The sequence below is a fragment of the Homo sapiens genome, chromosome 14, assembly GCF_000001405.40.
Source record: "Homo sapiens chromosome 14, GRCh38.p14 Primary Assembly".
Lineage (NCBI taxonomy): Eukaryota > Metazoa > Chordata > Mammalia > Primates > Hominidae > Homo > Homo sapiens.
This window is the reverse complement of record NC_000014.9, coordinates 23,838,305-23,860,837: the sequence shown is the minus strand read 5'-3', so window position 1 is coordinate 23,860,837 and position 22,533 is coordinate 23,838,305. Positions and strand designations below refer to the sequence as shown.

General features: G+C 37.0%; 1 long non-coding RNA gene across 1 annotated transcript in view; it reads left to right on the top strand.

The window, feature by feature from the left end:
- LINC00596 (long intergenic non-protein coding RNA 596) overlaps positions 1-22,115 on the top strand; it is a 95,219-nt gene extending 73,104 nt beyond the window's left edge. The window contains exons 3-4 of the long non-coding RNA XR_429343.4: positions 6,079-6,178; positions 21,438-22,115. This is a non-coding gene — a long non-coding RNA (long intergenic non-protein coding RNA 596). The remainder of the gene's footprint in view (positions 1-6,078; positions 6,179-21,437) is intronic.
- Positions 22,116-22,533: the final 418 nt, after the last annotated feature.

Sequence of the window (22,533 nt, the reverse complement as noted above, 5' to 3'; positions counted from 1 at the left end):
GCTAGGACAGGATGAATTTCCTGGAGAGGCTGGAAGATGACTGAGTGGAATTATATTCCATCAAAAGAAGCTCAAGGCCCTACAGGAACTCAAACTCACAGTCAATGCTGATGCTCATCCATCTTATCTGGGCACAGCCAAGATACCTTCTACTCTAAGAAGCTGAAATCTTCCTTGTTAGTATTTGACAGGGAGAAGAGTAGAGGGGAAAGGAGAGTTCAGGTTATGGGTGGGGAAGGCAACAGAAGGGAAGGCCAGCAGTTCACAGCTACCACACACCCTCTCTTTTTCCCCCTCACATGGCTCTCCTGTCAGACAGAGGTACAACTGCTTCTTATCAGAGAATAATCATCTCGCTGGCTCTGCAGGGATAAGAATAGTGATAGTTGTACAGACTGAATGCAGCAAGAAGGGTTGGGAAAGAGAAAACCACTCTAAACCTCTTATTTTTGTTTTAGGGACCACATTCATATAAACTGAAATATGTTTTCAGGTGACTGTGAGAAGATGTGATGGTAATCCCAAGGGCTTGCATGTGCCAATTACCTTGTGTGTCTCATAACATTTGAGTGATTAATTTAAATGGGGCCAAAGTAAATTAAAAACCTGGAAAGGACTCTTATCTTTTCCATATGCACGGACTATGAGAAGACAGTAACTCTGTATATGGGATCTTTATAGAGATAAGGATTAGGGCCAGTGGTGGTTTACAGGTTCCTGTAGAGGGATGGCTTACTGCAAATATGAATGGCTGAGACCCCAAGGATTTGAGAAGGTAGAGAGCAGAGTCATCAGGACTGTCGGAAATGGAGAGGGAGCCCAGAAAATGGAGGGGGAGCCTGGAATCCTGCTCAGACTCAAATCTTCTCAGCTGTCCACCCAGAGGAGATGCTTTTCCTAATTTGAACAACAGTGCCACCCAGTCAACAAGCTGTGCATCCCTAGTACTTTGCCCAGACAGGACTCTTTTCTAATTCACACTAGGGTAAATACTAATTGCCCAATCTCAAAAGCAGCTCAGAATGTGGACAACGGGTTGGGGAGGCCCAATTAAGATAAGACCAGCTAGGATTTGATTAAGTCCTATGCGGCCTCTGCCTGCACATAGATATCCTCCTGCTTCTATAGGTGCTTGAGGGTTCAGTATTCAACATGGATTAAATTTGAATTCACCATATTTCATCTACTCATAATTGAACTCCTAGGAGTGACATAGATGTTATGAACATGGGCTTTAAAGATAATCAACCAACCTAGTGGATTAGTGCCACCAACCTTACTAATCCAGTGAGGTTAGTATGAAAATGAAATGAAAAAATGAGTTAATGGATCTGAGGCCCATCCAAGGCATCTCTTCATATGTCTTTCTTCTCTCTAGGCCCTACACACAATTCATTATGATGTAATATAAGACTGGGTTCTCCTAAAAATGACCTCTCTTAAGCAAAAGATTTGTGCTTTGGAGAAGGATTCAAGGAACTCGCAAACATATAATGGCTAACCAAAACTGCAAATATGGACTCTTTAGGAAAGCAACAAATTTTAACATCTTATCCTTAATGCATTTGTAGTCAAATTCAGAAAAAAAATTGGGGGAAATGAACAAGACAAAGCAGTAGATGAGGTTCAAATGAGTGGTATTCATTTGTTAGTTCAGCAGACATTTATTGAGCATCTGTTTTTAGACTATGTACTGGGCTAGATGCTGAAGATACAGAGTGTGGTTGAAAGGACAGACAAGCAAGGAAAGCTTTCTCTCAGAAGTAATCACTTCCAGAGGAGGTGATGTGGGCTCTTGATAATTCAACCAAGTGAAGTCTGGAAAGAGGGCAGGGAGACGTCATGGGTTTGTCCTGGGAGGAGGAGAAAGGGAAGGATAGCCTGCCTTTAAGAGCAGAGAGAGCAACAGCTGCCCAGACACCCAAGGACCTATCCAACCTTAAGAATAACTCCTGTCACTGGGATCACCTTTAGGCCATAGTCAAAACCTATGAACCAATCACCAATTTAAGAAGAGATTAGCTACTGCTCAACAACTTTCCTGCCAAATTCAGGTGTCATGCCCCTTGGCAGGCCTATGCTATTACTAGTTAATTGCATGTGTGAGTATGTGTTCCACTCTCATATCCTTTCCCACCAAAGAAAAGAAAATGGTGCCATGGAGTGTTCTAATGTGGGATATTGACCAATGCATTGAACGCTGAACCAGTTAACTCCAAAAGACACCAAGTCCTTGCACTGAGATGAGCTTTAGGACATTTGGCAACTAAATATAATTATTATCTAATATAAATCCAAATATTTGAAAATGTAGGATGTTAAGAACATGATTCCTGCTGTCAACCTAAATAATAAACACAGTGAGAGAGGCTTTAAAAAATTATACATTTTTTAGAATAGGGCATTGCAATGGAAATATGCATGCCATAGTAAACTACATGCATATTCAGGGAGACAAAGGAAGACAAAGATTTTTAAAGAAAAAATGAGGATGATTTCATAATTGCTTTAAGATAATTATCCTTTGTTACAAGGATCAATAATAAGAGTGATGCCAGTCCAAGGTTGTATAGGCAGTTGCTGGGCAGATTTTCTTGCAGATGTATTTTTTTTTTTGTAAGATTTCAATGGCCTTTGTGCAAGACTGCAGTTTCTACAGAATCTTTTGTGATAGTTTTTGTTATTAGGCATTGATGCATAAGAACCCTTTCTTTCTTCTTTTTTTTTTTGGAGACAGGTTCTGGCTTTGTCGCCCAGGCTGGAGTGCAGTGGTATTATCTCAGCTCACTGCAACCTCTGCCTCCTGGGCTCAAGGGATCCTCCCACCTCAGCCTCCTGAGTGGCTGGGACTACAAGTGTGTGCCACCACACCCAGCTAATTTTTTGTAGAGACAGAGTTTCACTGTGTTGCCCAGGCTGGTCTCAAACTCCTGAGTTCAAGCAGTCCGCTCACCTTGGCCTCCCAAAGTGCTGGGATTACAGGTGTGAGCTGCCATGCCCAGCAAAACTCTCTCTTCATTGCTTTCTCTAGCTCTATTTGTCAAATTTTGTTTTTGTTTTTTTGTGTTTAAACATAAGTGATTCCATTTTGATTCTGACAAATTTCACATTTTCCCCATTTGATCAAGATCTTTCTCCAAAAGCATCACTAATAAGTCATCCTGTAATGAGGTTTTGATACTCTTTGGTGCTGAGATAAACCTGTCCTTGGTTGCTGGTCTAGACGGTTCCATGTTGGAGAAAGCGAATGACAGTGAGAAGTCAGTGTTAAAACCCTTTTAGCCAAAATTTGAGCAACAAAAGAGGTTTGAAGGGAGTGGCTCTCAGGCTGAGTATACCTGGAGTCCATTGTTAAGTTTATTTTTGTGTTTCATAGGCATTTGTTATCATTTTAAAGCGCTAAGCCAGCATTATTCTGTCAGGAATTGCACTTCTGCAAAATTTAGCAATAACAGATGCAAAGTTTAAAAAGAAAAATACAAAGTAAAATTAATGGTAGTATGACAATACCAGTTTGCATAATGGCTTTGAGCCATGAACCTAAGTAACCAATTGAATAAATCAAATGACCATTATCCTGTCAAATGAAAAAGGTAGGCATTAAGAGGGTGAGAGTCTCATTACAATATAGAGTCTTATTCTGATGTCTTGGGAAAAGCTGTTAACAATATGAAAAAGTCAACTTTTTGGCCAGGTGTGGTGGCTCACACCTGTGATCCCAGCACTTTGGGAGGCTGAGGCAGGCGGATCACTTGAGGTCAGAAGATTGAGACAAGCCTGGCCAAAATGGTGAAACCCCATCTCTACTAAAAATACAAAAATTAGCCAGGTGTGGTAGCACACGCCTGTAATCCCAGCTACTCAGGAAGCTGAGACAGGAGAATCACTTGAACCTGGGAGGCAGAGGTCGTAGTGAGCCAAGATCATGCCACTGCACTCTAGCCTGGAGAACAGAGCAAGACTGTCTCAAAAAAAAAAAAAAAAAAAGAAGAAAAAGAAAAAGAAAAGAAAAAGAAAAAGTTAACTTTTCTCATCCTGATTTGCAGTTTGAATGTCTCTGGATATAGCACTGGGTAGTTTGGTGAACTTTCTGTGTGGCATATACATTAGGCACAGGACTCGTTTTTAAAAATTTGTCAAGTTTCAGCTTATAGGGCTTTAGAAACAGAGAAGTTACTGTTTTTAGTAATTTCATGGAAGAAAGTTGGACTGGAGGAATCTAGACAAATTCAGGGTCTAGTGTAGTCTATAGGCAGATAGCAAGAACTTGAAAAAGTGCAGCGCTACAACCCAATAACAGATGTTTTAGCTTTTTGTTGGAAACATAACTTTTTCTCTCCACATAGATCACGTAAGAATCTCAGATTTAAAAACCTCTTGACGTTAGAAAGCCAAACCAAGGCAGACTTTAGATTTTAGTAAAATCTAAATTAAAATCTAAATCTAAAATTTAAACTATTAGGGTTCCTGAGTATTCCAAGAAGTGATCGTTTTTATCTACTCATGGTAAGGCTGGAAACCAGAATGCCTGGGAAGCCAGGCATTCCATGCACATTCTCAAAATGACATTTCCATCAAAGCTTTGACAATATAGCCAATGTTTCTAATTGTATCCTGCTGTAAAGAGAGAGCAGATTTTCACTGGACTTATGCAAATAACCACATTGCCATAGGAATACTTATGAATAGTTTCCAAATTTTGGAGGAATCAAGTGGAGAGAAAAGGCAAATGCATCCATCTTTATTCACAAAAGTATACTTTACCAAGTTGCTGTAAGCTACAGATAGCTTGAGAGAGAAAATTTCTTTAAATCTGAAAAACAAAACATTCAAGTAAAGGATCAAAAATGTTTTATTGTTTTGTAGTTTTTTTTTTTTTTTGCTTTTTTTTTGAAATGGAGTCTCACTCTGTCATCAGGCTGGAGTAGAGTGGTGCAATCTCGGCTCACTGCAACCTCCACCTCCCAGGTTCAAGCAATTCTCCTGCCTCAGCCTCCCGAGTAGCTGGGACTACAGGCACGCGCCACCATGCCCAGCTAATTTTTGTATTTTTAGTAGAGATGGGGTTTCACCATGTTGGCCAGGATGGTCTCGATCTCTTGACCTCGTGATCTGCCCACCTCAGCCTCCCAAAATGCTGGGATTACAGGCGTGAGCCACTGTGCCTGGCCAAAAATGATTTAAATAAAGAACACAAAAGCATTATCTTTGTCAGTTATTCAGTCTCACATAATTAATTTTTGTCTTGCTTGATCTTGATTAGCAAGTTCATGAACTCATCAGTTTCTTTACTAGAGTTCTGGGAAATTTTAATCTAGTCCATTGATCTTAAAGTTATTAAAAACCTGTATTTAAGAGTACTTCTAGAGTCTTTTCTATGAAAAGTAATTTTGGAGTGTAGCTTATTTCAAGTGCTTTTAGAGAAAAATCAAAACAATAACTGTGGATGACCCAAACTTAGACTAGTCATGATTAAAAATCTGATGAAAGTTCATTGTAATCAGCAATTGACAAGGAAATTCAGTTATTTTTGTTGCATACAACATTATATCCAGAATTATGACTGATGACAGATTTCTAAGAGTCTTATTAAGTTTCAGAACATTCATATCAAAAACACACTCATGAATGCAACTGAAAGAAGATCTAGCATCACTCATCATTTGACAGTGTTCCCTATAAAATTTACCAAATAAGCCTAATCATTTAATATCTCTACAAGATGAGAAGTATATCCTTTGAGACTCTCCAGGGGCTCAACTGGAAAATTCCAAAGTGAAATCTAGGTCAAAATGATTTAATTTAGAATTTTGATCCTGGGGAAGCAAGCCAAAGACGGAAAACAGTTTTGAAACAGTTGATCAAAACAGGATCATGGGTCACTGTAAATTAATAGCCATGCATTTAACCAGAGTGATAAACAACTTCAAAAGCAATACAGAAAGTTATATGGATTTTTAAAAACCTTAACACTTTCAAAGCTCAGTTTTCCTAAGTAATCAGAAACCTAGTAAAGACAACACAGAAAGTTATCTTGATAAAACATAAGTTCTCTCTCCCTCTCTTTTTTTTCTTTAGGTCAGTGCCCAAAAAGGTAAAGAAAACCTCATGCAGTGTGCTTGCTTCTCCTCATGGGCAGCCCATTTGGATACCCTGGAAATTGAACCTAATTTAAAAGGTATCTGAATCTAATCAGTCACAGGAAGAATGTGTGTATACCATATTATAGAGGAAGGTAAATAAGAAAACTAGTATCTTGAGTAGGGGAATATAGTACTCTTAGCAATAGCATGGGAAGTTTCCTGGTTATGTGGAACAATTCAGATACATCAAGAGAAGCCAAGAGTACAGGATAAAGTTATACTGGAGGAAAACATCACTTTTTTAGGTCTTCAAGATAAACATTTCAGCAACAGGTCACAAAAGCAGAGTTAGAACTGGAGAGAATAAATTACAGTAGCTGATGAAAAAGTTGAAAGAGAGATTGTTATCATCCCAGGCTTTTTCAAAGGGAGAAAGAGTTGCAGGCAATGATGCATGACCTGCAAATCATGTGCTGTGAAATACATCAGAAGTTGAAGTTTGAAGATATGAATATGAGAAGCTTCAAGAGGAAAACTCTACCTCAAGAAATAAAATTACCATTCTGAATGAAAAAGACATATTTCTAACCTGAAAATAGGGAAATTAAATTACTTCTATTAAAAAAAGCAGCAGATAATTAAAAATAAAAACATCTTGTAAATTTTACTAAGAGCAGATCAATACACAACAAACAAGCAAACACCTTGTTGTTTTAATATAGAGTACCAAACCTTTAGTTTTCTGTTAGCGTATTTTTTTTTTTTTTGGAGACAGGGCATTCCTCTGTCACCCTGGCTGGAACGCAGTGGCATAATAGCTCACTGTAACCTCAAATTCCTGGGCTCAACTGATCTTCCTGCCTTTGCCTCCCAAGTATCTGGGACTACAGGTGTGCACCACCACACCTGACTAATTTTTAAAACAATTTTTTTTGTGCAGTTGGGGTCTCACTATGTTGCCCAGGTTGGTCTTGAACTCATCCTGGCCTGAAGTGATCCTCCCACCTTGGCCTCCCAAAGTGCTAGGATTATAGGTGTGAGCCATGATGCCCAGGCTTATATTAGTGTATTTTTAAATATCAAAGCTCAATCTTTAGAAAGACTTATAGATAATTCCTTTCTAATTATGGCCAACTTGCTCACACAAAATTCCCTTCATAAATTTATCCTTCACAAACCTTATCACAACTTACTCAGGTCTTTGACAACATACTTAAATTTTCTGCTTTGTTTTAAACTTCCTCTTCCTTAAATACCCAGTCATTTTACTTTAGGACAAAAATTTGCCATGCAAGATTCTTACTCATACAAAATTATTCTCTTTTCTTTTAAACCTTCTTTACTGAAATTTATTCTCATACGCATAACTGTTTTTATGTCTTTTTCTCCTATTTACTGTTCTTTTTTATTTCCTTTTAAAATTTACTTTTTGGAACAACCTTTAAATCACCTTTGAATTAAAAATTATTTTTAAATACATTTTTATGTCTTTCTTATAATTTTTAAAAATAAAACATCTTATTTTTGAAATACATTTTACATACAGAACTATATATATATTAGAATTTTATCCCTTAGTAACCTTAATTTTTAGCAAGCAATTTTGAACTGTGTCACATCAGTATTTTATAGATGAGAATGATTTTATAATTTTTAGGATCATATTTTCCCATAACATAATTTTTTATGTGTATTAATAGACCCAAAAATATTCAGTCTCTATAAACTTTAAGAAGCCAAGGAGAAATGTACATTTATGTTCAGCGATTTTTTTCAGTTTTTTTTTCTTATGTGGGAATGACTCAGACATTTAATGAGTATGAGAGCCAATCATAATCCCAAAAAACATAATCCAGAATGCCATGATCCTGAATGTTGAAATCCCAAAAGATCAAATCCTCAAACAATAATTCTGGAAAAAAACAATTAAAAATTAAAAGATATTTATTTACATTTCCAAAAGGGGATTTATTTGAGAAACATACAAAAACTTGACAGAACACTTTATAGGCCACTTTACACAATAAAATAGGCAATAATAACATACATATTTTTGCAAGCATAAACACTCAGGTATACTAATGACAATCACAGGGGCATAACATTTATCAGCAGAAAAACCATATTCAAAAAGAAATAGGCCAAAAAGTGAAAGGTATAAATGCATATCACTATGGTTGGTAATTGTGTACACCCAGCTGTATAACTGCAGTCATCTGAAATACTGTGAAGGGAAGTCTAAGTCCTTTGATGAGAGTGATTAAAAACCTGAGATGTGTCACCGCCGTATCATCACCGCACCAGTAACCCAAAAAGCCAAGATCTCCAGAAATTTTATCTTTCACAAATGCAAATGTACAAAAAAGAACATCTCTTCATTACTGAGGACATTTCAATGTTTTTGTGTACAAGCACAATGCTTACACACAAAGCCACTGTTGTGTTAATGCACTTTCATGGAGTCACATTTGCGAAAAATGCACAAAATGAATTAGAACTCTCTAAAACTCCTTAATTTATTTATATCTCCAGTACTGGAAGTGATGTGAAGATAAAATACATCTCATAGTGAATTACAAAAAATAATGCTGATAATTTAAAATAGTAAAACAAAAAACCTTAAAAAGAATAAAACAAAAAAATTCAATATATGAAAAAGTGCACAGGCATAGACTATGGGCAGTTGCTTGGAAATAGTCCATCAGAGCTGGCCAACTTTCATGATTATTAACTATGTTTAAAAGTTTTACATCTCGAGGAATAACTGTTTTTCTTTTCTTTTAGGACATGGCTCTCCTCAGAGATTATGTTCATGTTCATTTCTACATGGCACTGCTCTGTTTGAAATTCTGTTATTTGATGTACACTGACTTGAGCATCCCCTGTTAAATTTTCCCATCTTCTGTGCCATAGTTCTATGTTGTTTCAGGTGTGCAGAAATCCATTCTTCATGTGCTAATATACAGACCACAAATTTGGCAGAAACAATAATGGTGACCAAACAGCAACACCGTTGTGCGAGTGTCTTCTCATTCTACCAGGAACATAATTATTTTTGAACCAGTCAGTAACTTTGCTGGCTTCTTCAGGCAAATGTGACTTTAATTTATTAAAAGCTCCTCAAATAACATCAGCTGGATAGAATACTAATGTGAGCAAATCAGGCAATTTTAAACTAAAGTTTTTGTTGTTGCCATATTCTGTGGCCAACTCAATCATCTGAATTTTATGCCAAATGCATTGGGCTGAGTGGAAAAAACAAAACTTTGTTGGTAACACCTTCAAATTTGCTTTTAGAAGCCTTGATTGTACCTAATTCCAAATATATTATTGTGGTTTGGGGATTCAAATGAAATCCATTTTCTTCCACATAAAGACAACAACAAGGTAATACTTCCATCTAACATGATGCAATTTTCCTGTAATTGTGATTTTCAGGATTTTAGACATTAGGGATTTAGACTTCAGGGATTTTGATTTTTTGGGATTTTGACATTTGGAATTATGGCATTCCAGATTGTGTGTTTTGGGATTATAATCCAAATTCAATGAGTCTCTATTACTTGATTTAACATAACTTTAAGATTTCAAATCACATAAATAGGTCATTTATGAAATGTATCCCATTTACATTTACCAAATGTATTTATTTCTAACAATTGTGTCTAGATTAATCATGAAAACTAAGTTAGACAAAGCTAGTCATCATCTTGTTATTTTTCTGCTAGCCATTTTATAACCTGTGAATATCATGTGTTCACCTAAGTAATAACCTTAAAGTTAAATATATGGTATTTTGCCAATAACTCAGAAGTTACAGCTGTTTTTATTAAACCAATAATATTAGTCTTACATATCAAAGAATTGCACAAAGATCATTTTGTTTTAAGCTCAGTTTACAGTTTTATAATCTTTATGTCAAACTCTAACACCTTAAAACTTTTGGTAGAGATGACTATAAAGCTGTCTGACCAGTAAACACAGGCAAAAATGTATGCTGAAAAATTTTAAGGCATTTCTATTTTTCATTTTAACCAACATTTAAAAAACCAGCTTACTTATCAAAGATTTGCTTAAGTCATATAAACTAAAAGGTATTTGGGTTAATTGCTACATATTTTATATGAGTGCTCATTTATTAAAGTCAATCTGAATATAATTCCTTAAGGGATTTCTGGATGAGTATGCCAGATTATAACATGTAAATATAGCATATAACATAATATATGCACATATGGGTAGATACACCTAGACATATATACATACACACAGAGATCTTATAGCTTTCACTTTAGAATTTTAGGCATGAGACACAAAACTTACAGATTCGCCAGTTTTGACAGTTGGGTCAAAATTATATTTTTGGCAAGATGGGATCTGTTCATATGGCTAAACTTTATTTGCCCTTATAGGTAATCTAATAAGGCTGCAGACCAAAACTGTGGGTGAAGCAATGTGGTTAAAAAAAAAAACAACCCTCTTTCTTTTTTTCTATTTTTTAAGGTTTCAAATGAGTTTAGGGTTAAATTTTCAATGTTTACTTTTTAGCTAGGACTGGCTGAATTTTATAAGAAAAAAACCCCCAAATCTCCAAATAGTCTTTTTAGCAACAAACCTATATTTTGTTTGCTGGTTTGGTTTGCTTGACAGTTGATGCAGGTGGAGAAACATTTTAGCAGGTTTTCTTTGCTTCTTTTCTTTTTGGCCTCTGCATAGCAGACAATGCAAAATTTACGCCCGACAAAGACACCTTATATTATTGCACTGAGCTCAAGAATTTGACCTGTTTGATCTGAGAGTATAACTTTCAAAAACATTTGTCTAGTTCTTCCCTTTCAGACTATCAATCCTTGGATGAACTGTTCCATCACCATAAACAACTGCTAGTCAAGCAAACCTAAATATGCATTTCCAAAAGGTGTCTAGGTTGTTGGTTACCATGGAGCTATTTTAATTAGTAAAGCCATTAAACGGAAAGTCCTGTGAGACTCTTTTAAAACCTTGGCTGAAATGCCACAAGCAATGAGTTTTATCTCAACATCAGTAGAAAAGTTGACAAATTAAAAGTCGGCAGAAAAGAAATAGAGATAGGGAGGTTAGAAGGCTCTACATGTTAACTCTATAGTTGCAAGGTTTTTTAAAAAACAGCTTGAGTAATGATAATTTGGGCTCTGAATTTTTCTTGATGTAATTTGCCCATCAATTTTTAAATTGCACATGAGAATAGGCCATAATATGTGGACAGTGGGAGTCCCAGAAAACTTGGCATGCTTTAATGTTTGAAAATTCTGTTTCTTATTAATTTCTCAAAAACAAAGAAAATGCTATAAATTCTTTCATAAAATATCAAGAATTTGGACCAGTGTTTTAGATGATGGGGACCACACTAGTGGCTTTCAATTAGCTATCTTGCATACACCATCTAGAATGTTTATTTTTGCTCTTGGATGATTTTTAGAAACAAGCAAGGGAAAAGGGCCAAATCATTTACAGATGGGCATAACCAAGCCAAAATGGAACCAAGATAAGAGTGTTCACAAAACTTTTAACCCAGGCATGCAGATCAAACAAAATATTGAATTAGGCTTGCAAAAAGGACAAAAAGTAAATTTATCAGAAAAGATAAGCCTTGTAATAACCAATGGTATGCTGTTTTCAAGAGACCCATCTCACACGTAGTGATACCCTTAGGCTCAAAATAAAGGGATGGAGGGAAATCTACCAAGCAAATGGAAATCGAAAAAAGCAGGGGTTGGAATCCTAATTTCAGACAAAACAGACTTTAAACCAGCAAAGATCAAAAAAGACCCTTTACATGGTGGTAAAGGGTTCAATTCAACAAGAAGACTTAAGTATCATTAATATATATTCACTCAACACAGGAGCACCCAGATTCCTAAAGCAAGTTATTAGAAACCCACAAAGAGACTTAGACTCCCACACAATAATAGTAGGAGACTTTAACACTTCATTGACAGTAGTAGATGGATTATCAAGGCAGAAAATTAACAAAGGTACTCAGGAGCTGTACTCAACATTGGACCAAATAGATTTGATAGACCTTTACAGAACTCTCCACATCAAACCAACAGAGTATACATTCTTCTCATTGCCACATGGCACATACTCTAAAATTGGCCACACAACTGTACATAAAACAATGCTTAGCAAATGCAAAAGAACTGAGATCATACCAAATACACTCTTGGACCACAGCACAATAAAAATACAAATGAAGACTAAACAAATTGCTCAAAACCATGCAATTACATGGAAATCAAACAATCCAATCCTGAATAACCTTTTTGTGTAAATAATGAAATTAAGGCAGAAATCAAGAAGTTCTTTGAAATTAATGAGAACAAAGATACAACATACCAGAATCTCTGGGACACAGCTAAGGCAGTGTTAAGAGGGAAATTTATAGCAGTAAACACCCACATCGAAGGTTAGAAAGATCTCAAATTAGAAACCTAACATCACAATTAAAAGAAATAGAGAAGCAAGAGCAAACCAATCCCAAAGCTAGTAGAAGACAAGAAATAACCCAAATCAGAGCTGAACTGAAGATTAAGGCATGATAAACTATTCAAAAGATCAATAAATCCAGGACTTTTTTTTTAAAGTAAGTTTTTTTAATTAGTCTAGATGCTAGCTGGATTAATAAAGAAGAAAAGAGAGAAGACACAAATAAATACAATTAGAAATGACAAAGGGGATGTTACCACTGACCCCTCAGAAATACAACCACCAAAGACTGCTATGAACACCTCTAAGCAAACAATCTAGAAAATCTAGAAGAGATGGATAAATTCCTGGACACATACACCATCCCAAAACTAAACCAGGAAGAAATTGAATCCCTGAACAGACCAACAATGAGCTCCAAAATTGGATCAGTAATAAATAGCCTACCAACCAAAAAAAGTCCAGGACCAGACATATTCACAGCTGAATTCTACCAGATGTACAAAGAAGAGCTGGGACCATTCCTATTGAAACTATTCCAAAAATTGAGGAGGAGCAACTCCTCCCCAACTCATTCTATGAGGCCAGTATCATCCTGATATCAAAACCTGGCAGAGACACACACAAAAAAGAAAACTTCTGGCCAATATCCTTGATGAACATTGATGCAAAAATCCTCAACAAAATACTGGCTAACTGAATCCAGCAGCACATCTAAAAACTAATCCAACACAATCAAGTAGGCTTTATCCCTGGGATGTGAGGTTGGTTCAACATATGCAAATCAATAAATGGGATTCATTACATAAACAGAACTAAAGACAAAAACCACATGATTACCTCAATGGATGCAGAAAAGGCTTTTGATAAAATTCAATGTCCCTTCATGTTAAAAACTCTCAATAAACTAGGTATTGAAAGAACACACCTCAAAATGATAACAGCCATCTGTGACAAACCCACAGCCAACATCATATCGAATGGGCAAGAGCTGGAAGTATTGCCCTTGAAGACTGGCACAAGGATGCCCTCTCTCACCACTCCTATTCAACATAGTACTAGAAGTTCTGGCCAGAGTAATCAGGCAAGAGAATGATATAAGAGCCATCCAAATAGGAAGAGAAAAGTCAAATGATCCCTGTTGCAAATGCCATAATTCTATATTGAGAAAACCCCACAGTCATGGCACAAAAGTTTATTTAGCGATAAACAACTTCGGCAAAGTTTCAGGATACAAAATCAATGTACAAAAATCACTGGCATTCCTATATATCAGCAACAGTCAAGCCAAGAGCCAAATGAAGAATGCAATTCCATTCACAATGACCACACACATAAAATATACCTAGGAATACAGCTAACCAGGGAGGCGAAAGATATCTACATAGAGAATTACAAAACACTGTTCAAAGAAATCAGAGATGACATAAATGGGAAAACATTCCATGCTCATGGAAAAGAAGGATCCATATTGTTAAAATGGCCATATGTCCCAAAGCAATGTATAGATTCAATGCTATTTCTACTAAACTACAAATGACATTCTTCACAGAACTAGGAAAAAAACTATTTTAAAATTCATATAGAATCAGAAAGGAGCCCAAAGAGCCAAGGCAATCCTAAGCAAAAAGAACAAAGCTGGAGGCATCATGCTGCCTGACTTCAAACTGTACTACAGGGCTACAATAACCAAAGCAGTGTGGTACTGGTGCAAAAACAGACACATAGAACAATGGGACAAAATAGAGAGGGCAGAAATGAGGCAACACACCTGCAACGATCTGACCTTCGACAAAGCTGACAAAAATAAGCAATGGGGAAAGGACTCCCTATTCAAATAACTGGTGCCAGGATAACTGGCTAGCCATATGCAGAAGATTGAAACTGGACACCTTGCTTACACCACATACAAAAATCAATTCAGTACAGATTAAAGACTTAAACGTAACACCCAAAACTATAAAAACCTTGGAAGACAACCAAGGCAATACCATTCTGGACATAGGAGGGGGCAAAGATTTCACAAAAAAAGACACCAAGAGCAATTGCAACAAATGCAAACATTGACAAATTGGATCTAATTAAACTTAAGAGCCTCTGCACAGCAAAAGAAACTATCAACAGAGTAAACATAACCTATAGAATGGGAAAAAATTTTTGCAAACTATGCATTTGATGAAGGTCTAATATCCAGCATCTATAAGGAACTTAAACAAATCTGCAAGAAAAAACAAAAACAAAAACAAAAACAACCCCATTAAAAAGTGGGCAAGGGACACGAACAGACACTTTTCAAAAGAAGACACACATGTGGCCAACAAGCATATGAGAAAAAGCTCAATATCACTGATCATTAGAGAAATGCAAATCAAAACCACAATGAGATACCATCTCACACCAGTTATAATGGCTATCATTAAAAAGTCAAAAAATAACAGATGCTGGCGATGTTGTGAAGAAAAGGGAACACTCATATTCTATTGGTGGGAGTGTAAATTAGTTCAAGTATTGTGGAAAGCAGTGTGGTGATTCCTCAAAGACCTAAAAACAGAACTACCATTTGATCCAGCAATCTCATTACTGAGTATATACCCAAAGGAACATAAATTGTTCTACCATAAGGACACATGTATGTGTATGCTTATTGCAGCACTATTCACAAAGCAAAGACATGGAATCAACTTAAATACCCATTAATGGCAGGCTGGATAAAGAAAATGTGGTACATATACACCATGGAATACTATGCAGACATAAAAAGAATGATATCATGTCCTTTGTGGGAACATGGATGGAGCTGAAGGCCATTATCCTTAGCAAATGAATTCAGGAACAGAAGACCAAAAAGTGTATATCCTATCTTGTAAGTGAGAGCTAGATGATGAGAACATATGGACACATTGAGGGGAATAACACACGCTGGGGCCTACTTGAGGGTGGAGAGTAGGAGAAGAAAGAGGATCTAAAAAATAACTACTGGGTACTGGGGTTAGTACCTGGGTGAGAAAGTAATCTGTACAACAAATCCCTGTGAGTTTACCCATATAACAAACCTTCTCATGTACTTGTGAACCTAAAATAAAAGAAAAAAAATAAGATAAAATAAAATGAGAAAACTAAAAAGGAAAAAGAAAGACAATTAAAAAGAAAAAAGAAGAAAAGAAAAAAGAAAATAAAAAAAGATATGTCCTGCAGACAAAATGAAAATTCTAGGGAAGCCAGAATACTCAAACTAGAAGGATATTTGTACTTATAGCAGAAAAGAATTGCTAGAAAATACAGTCTTTTATCCCTCCAGAGGGATGTAAGCTCCTTTATTTAAGGGGGCCTTATAACAAAATCAAATCCCAAATAAAGTGAAAAGCTACTACCAAAAGGAGGGAGGCTCAGCCTGAGAGAAGTCTCACCAGAGCAGAAAAGGTGAGCCGTAAAAGTGGAGAGCTCAAAGGGTTAACACATCAGTTCTGCACACTGGCGTACTGCACACCAGTTCCAAGAATCACTGATTCCTTCCAATAGTGATTTTTCTTCAGATCCCAGTTGTGACACCATTTATGCCAACCTAAATAATGAACACAGAGAGAGCAGTCTAAAGAAAACATTTCCTATGATAATGATATCCCATTGATATCTATACCTCTGTATGATATCTATACCTCTCTATGATATCTATACCTCTGTAACCCTATCCTATGTCAACAAAAGTGAACTGAGGGTGAGACACCCACTACACTAGTCTTGCTTCTGGACATCTGGACCAGGACAGTGGCTGAAACCCACATCTCTTCAAAGGTCAGAAAGGATTATTGATTATTGGAGAGAGGAGGAATACCGGCTGGTGCATTCACTGTCAATCCCAATTTTAGCAGATGGGGTGAAGGCACAATCTACCTTATCAAGATCTTAGGAATTCTGATCTAAAAGTTTCAAAATACAGTACATTTTCTTACTTAGGGATCATCCCTGCCTCCATTATCTATAGTTGCAGCCCTGGTCCTGGGATCACTGCATCAGGTAGGAAAAATAAAGTCAAGGTGATGCAGGGGAGAATTGTCTGCTCACACCAACATCCTTCCCCATGGTAAGGTTTCTATAGTCATGTCATTATGCTCTCTCTCCTCTTATTCAGATCCCCTAGAACAATAGAGGAATCTATCTAGTGGGGACCCTCAGTAGCCCCTCCCATGTATAATTTGAGCACACATTTGTGAAGGTGTGTAAGCCAGCCTTTTATGCCTTTATTTTCCTCCGTTTTAGATAACAAATTTTCAACTGACCATTTGAATTCTCTATCAAACCCTAACTCTAAGGATGAGACTATGTTGTTTGGTCTGAAGAAATGTGTCTTGGTTCATATTGGTATAATATTCTTTTCTCAGTCTTTTTATAGTATTTTTAATATTTCATCTACCACTGGTTATGCAAAACCCAATCCAGAGTAAGTGTCTATTCCTGTCAGGACCCATTAATTGCTCCCAAGTCTACCCACACTGAGCCAATGAAACTGACTTGCCAGCTGTGTTAAGGGCTTTTCCCCTCAGGAAATCTGTCCCAGAGCCATCTGCAGTCTGTCTTTCTCACTGGCACACAGAACAGATCTTGTTGGCATTTTCTGCAAGAAGAATATGTCTAGATTCAGCCCATCTCTGCATTGCTGAAGTACCACATCTACTCATTTCATGGACCCAGGTGGCCATCTCAAGCAAACACAACAGGATATACTCTTGCCAATTCTAATTGCCTTCTGACCCTAGAAAGGATCTCTTCTGATGAACATTATCATATTCCACTTTAATGTGCTCCTTAAATTCCTATAGTAATTTCCATGAGGTTGTGCCCCATACAGGCGTCTACTTAATAGGCCAGTGTTCCATTGACTATAGAGCCAGGTCATGGGCTACTGTCATAAGTCAGTAAAACCCAAACTTAAAAGCTTTTATTATTGTTCAATTCCCCCTTCACTGCCAGGAAAACAGCATGCGACTCAGTCCGTTGAACTAATTTGTTATCTTTTTCAATCAGAGTCTTTCAATCTGCCAGTCTTAGTGTGGTCCCTTCCAAACAGGAGGCTATTCATCCACCTTGGAACTGCCATTCATGAACCAAGCAGCTCTTTGATGGTTAATAGAGATCTATTAACAGGGCACTGTCCAGGTGGCGATAGGACCCAGTAGTTCCTCAGGTGTCAATCCGAGAAGTCAGTCCTAGAGGGAAAGAGTCTACCTGCTTGTAGATACAATGGGTACCTCTGTGTCCACCCAGTAACATGTTTCTCCCATTTCCACTTTATTATGGAACTCTTCTGGATGCTGTCTTCCTTATTAGATTGTTTCTCTGACATAACACAAGACAATCTCAGTATTTCAGGTTTCAGGAGCATTTTATGTCCTTCACTCACAGGGGCTTTTACCATTAATGTCCAATAGTAAGGTAGTAGCTGTTTCTCAAATTGTGTGTATCTTACTATACCATTTAGGAATATTCTGATACAGAATCCCAGTGGTCACCTATGAGTGGTACTCACAGGCTTTTGCAGTAATCTCCAGTCTACATATAATAGGCATGTGTTACAGACACTTCCAAGATCATATATGGTATGGAAGGACAAAATAAGCATTGAGAGAGGAACTACTTTTTGCAATTCAGCCATGGCTTGCTTTTTTGGTCCCTCATTCAAATACAGCACTCTTTGGGTAGTTTTATGGATAGCAGTGTGTAACATTTCTAGATGTGGAATATGCATCCTCCAAAATCTAAATAGACCAATGAAACATTGGGCTTCTTTGTTTATTTCAAGGAGTAGTAATGAGATCAGTTTATTTGTGCTTACCTATGGAATGTCATGGGTGGCACCTGCCTAGGTTATTCCTAAGAATTCCACCATTTTGAGAGGCCTTGACCCTTGCTAGACTTATCAGCCAGCCTCTGCTGGTCATGTGTGTCACTGCTGCATTTAGGTCATTCCTCACCTGGTTTTCAGTTTCAGATATTATCAGGATATAATCAATACAGTGTATTATTACACTTAGAACCTGCTTTAATCCAAATCCCTTTTAACCAAATTATTGTAGAAGCTGGTGAATTTAAATAATCCTATAACAACATAATCTTTCCATGTCAGGGCAAACTGCAACTGGTTTTTTTCTAAGATTGACATAGAACAAAAAAAGCATTTGCAAAATCAGTCACTAAGTACCAGACTCTTTAGCCTGCTGTACTTTTTGTGGCATTGAAGCAATATCAAGACTACTAGTGCTATGGGTGGCACCAGTTTATTCAAGCCTCAATATTCCACTATTAGTCCAGATGAGCCATCTGCTTTTTTCACAAGCCATACAGAGCTTTGTATAAAAAATTCATGTATACCAGCACTTCAGCTACTAACATATCATTGATTTCTTTTTGTGCACTGGATGTCCTATAATGTTTCAAACTAAAACCTATGAGGGCTTGAGCAGCTCTAGTTGTTCCCAATTAGCATGTCCCATCAAGACTGGCAGACTTGACTGAGGGCAGACTTAGATGCTTTCTGTTTTACAACAGTAGATAGGGAAAGTGTTCCATAGTCAGACTAATACCCATACCAATAACACATTTAGATAAAGGAGACATGAAATCCTTCCAAACATTCCGATTCTTTTTTTTTTTCTACTGGACAATTTCAACAACACAAATGTAAAACATTCTAACTTATATTCGACCTTTCACCTTAATCCCATGAGCCACTGCATGTCTGTGCCCTCCCAATCTAATTGTAGCTCCCATTAAGACTTCATTAACAGGTTTTGAAATCACTATGTATTGGGGTCCCTAGTCAAGGAGTCCTAGAAAAGTCTTCTCTACTCCTGGTCATTTTGCCCCACAGAAGACCTAGTTTTCTAGTCAATCTTCATTTTGATTAATCTGGCAGACCATTGTGACAGGTAATTCAAGTTCAGGTTTATCACTGTCATCTTTGTCCTTTGTTGTTGTTTTTTAATTCCTCAAAACAGGGGTAAATAGAGCAGAGTTACTTAAGGTCCTTTAATATTGAGGGGTCAGGAGGGTTTCCCATTGGCCCACCTAACTTCCACAGTGTTTCATTAAGACCTTTGTTTTAACTCCATCAATGTCAGCTTTATTCATTCCATTTCTTCATCATTTAAATATTTCCGCTCTGCTGGGACATGTCCCTTGACTCTTCCATTTGTCTTTCCTCACTTTCTTGTGAATCACCCTAATTTTCTAAGCATTTGTAAAGCCCATAAGGGTAAGCTAAGATAACACATCTGATGAGGTTTCTCTTACCATTGTTTGATTTTATAGCAGTAAGATTATATGGGGTCCCAGGCAAAAGGGTCCCCCTTAAATCTTGATATTTACCATGACGTAGGTAAGGGCTATATTTAGTGGATAAATAACCTGATCATTATAATGTTAATCCAACATGGCTTGCATATGAAGTATATCAGCTCCTTTATTTGGAAAATTCCATTTGGCATTTTTTTTTGTAGTAAAACAATCCCCCTTCTTAATGTAAACACATTTTACAGTAGCCTTTATCCAGTCCTCCAGGCTACCTGTACCTGCTATGTGTCTGGATGATACACATCTACAATGTTCAAAAGAGAGCTGTGGATTTTACAGCAACCCAAACATGTTCTTCTAATCTGCAGTGTTCAAAGTCAAGGATGCTGCCACTATGTTAGTCATTTTCACAATCATTTCAGTAAAGGCTTTACAAAAAAATTGACGGTAATGATCCACAAAATGAGACAAGTCTTTCACACTATCCCCTGGTTTCAGCAGTTTCTTGTTTTTACCCTCCCTCCACCTGGACAACCTCCCTGGTGACCAGAGGTTGTAGACATGATGTCTGTTGTCCCAGCATAATTTGTCCGTTATTTCTTATTATTTTGCATTTTCTTGCATATCAAGTAAGCCAACTCCTTGGGAGCCGGGTCTACCACTTCTAAATTTCATTGATTACTTTTGCCGCTCATAACTGATCACAGTGCAGTTATAGTTCCACACCATGGATGACCAGATAGCCACCTAGAATTAAAGGTTCACCAATCCCTGCCCTTATTTCCTTTCTCTATCCAAATCACATAGTTCAGTGAGTCAGGGTTGATCTAGTGAATCCTGGTCCAGAGGCCAACTGCAAAAGTTACTTAACTATGAAGTTGGGAGAATAGATCATAAGACCCCCTCACTTCTGACATCAGTTGCAAGTGTGAAGATCCCCAGAGCACCCTCAGCTTCAGTCATTCACTAGAAAGACTAACAGAACTCACTTAAATCTATTATACCCACAGTTACAATTTATTATAGGCAAATAACACGCATAAAAATCAGCCATGGGAAGAGATACATAGGGCAGAATCCAGGAAAGTTACCAAATATGAGAAGCTTCTTCTCCCCATGAAGTAAGGATAGCATTGCTTTCCTGGCACGGGTGCATAACAACACACACAGAATACCGGCAATGAGAGATGCTCATCCAATCCTTGGTGTCTAAAGTCTTTACTGGGACTCATGTAGGCATGCTTGACTTCCCAGTGGCTGATGTCAGTTTCCAGTCCCCAAGGAGGTCAACTACTGTGTGAAGTAAAGCCCCCACCCTAAATCACATTGTTGGTGGGGCTCAAAGCCCCCACCATAAATCACTATGTTACTGTCTGGCTCACCCAAGACCCCAAAGCAAACAAAGCCACTCCCAGGTGGGACATTCCAAGGGCTTAGAGACCACCTCCCAGGAGCAAAGAGTGGGGGGAAAAAGCAGTCAGACATCTTTTGGACAAGGTTAAATTTTTTACTACGTAGCAATTCTCAAGTGTTATTAAAAAACAAGTAGGAAAACTACAGAACACAATTTAATAGTATTTTCCTCCTTTTTCACACAAGCTTATGGCCAAGTAAAGGATCCTGACTCTAGCTCTGGATACAGTATTTGGCTCATTCTGGGAACCTGACTTTGATAAGAAGATGAAGAACTTTGTGAATTGAAGTAAATCACGTGAGAATCACTGACCTGACCTAAGAAAAGTTTGGATTTCTGTGAAACAGTATTCTACCACTCCTAAAGAAATATGCATTTGGCTGCAGTTTTCCACTTTTCACATAGGGGAGTGAGCTTTCTCTTGTTTGAACAACCATCAAGAACTGGGATATTATCTCATTTCAGGTGAAAATAGTATTCATGTATGCTTATCACAAATTCAGTATTCAGGGTTCAGTATTTGCACAGAGGAAAAGTAAGCATAAGTTTTAGATGAAAGACATAAATTTTATTATTTATTTTTAACTTCAAAAATATTATTTTCTATGCACATATGGACCTATAAAAGAGATCAAGAAATTAATACATGTATATAATACATTTATAACTGCTAGACCTTTATTTGAGTCTGATCATGTTACTCAGTGAGAAACTTTTTTTTCTAAGTCTTAATAAGATGTCTTACACTATATTTTTATTTATATTGCTTTGGCTTGTGATTAATTGCTTTGCTATTCAATACTGGCAAAATTTTTTATACAGTAAATAACATTAATTAAAATAAATTTATAACTTATTTAAATAAATCTATCAAGATGACCTTTCACAAATTCAATTCCTTTTGGTTTAAGACAGTTATTTAAGGGAAATGTATTATGTTTGTCTTAAGAATTTTTTAAATTTATGAAAAAGAAGGAAAGATTAATTTCAAGAAAGGTTATCCAGTCTTGGAGCTACCTGATTATATTCAAGACAGATTGGCTTAAAAAATTTGTTAGCTTTAAATAGCAGAAATAACTACTCTTGCATGTATCATATACCATGTCCCATACCTCATCAGCATGTCTTATACTATAAATAAAACTTTGAAGTCTATTTGGATAAGATTTTTTGAAAATCAGGTAGGAATTTATTAAAAGGAAAAACTGAGATCTTCTCACCTACATTACTGACTTGCAGTAGAGGGGTTATTCTTTGTGGGGTGGAGGGTAGGGGGACCAC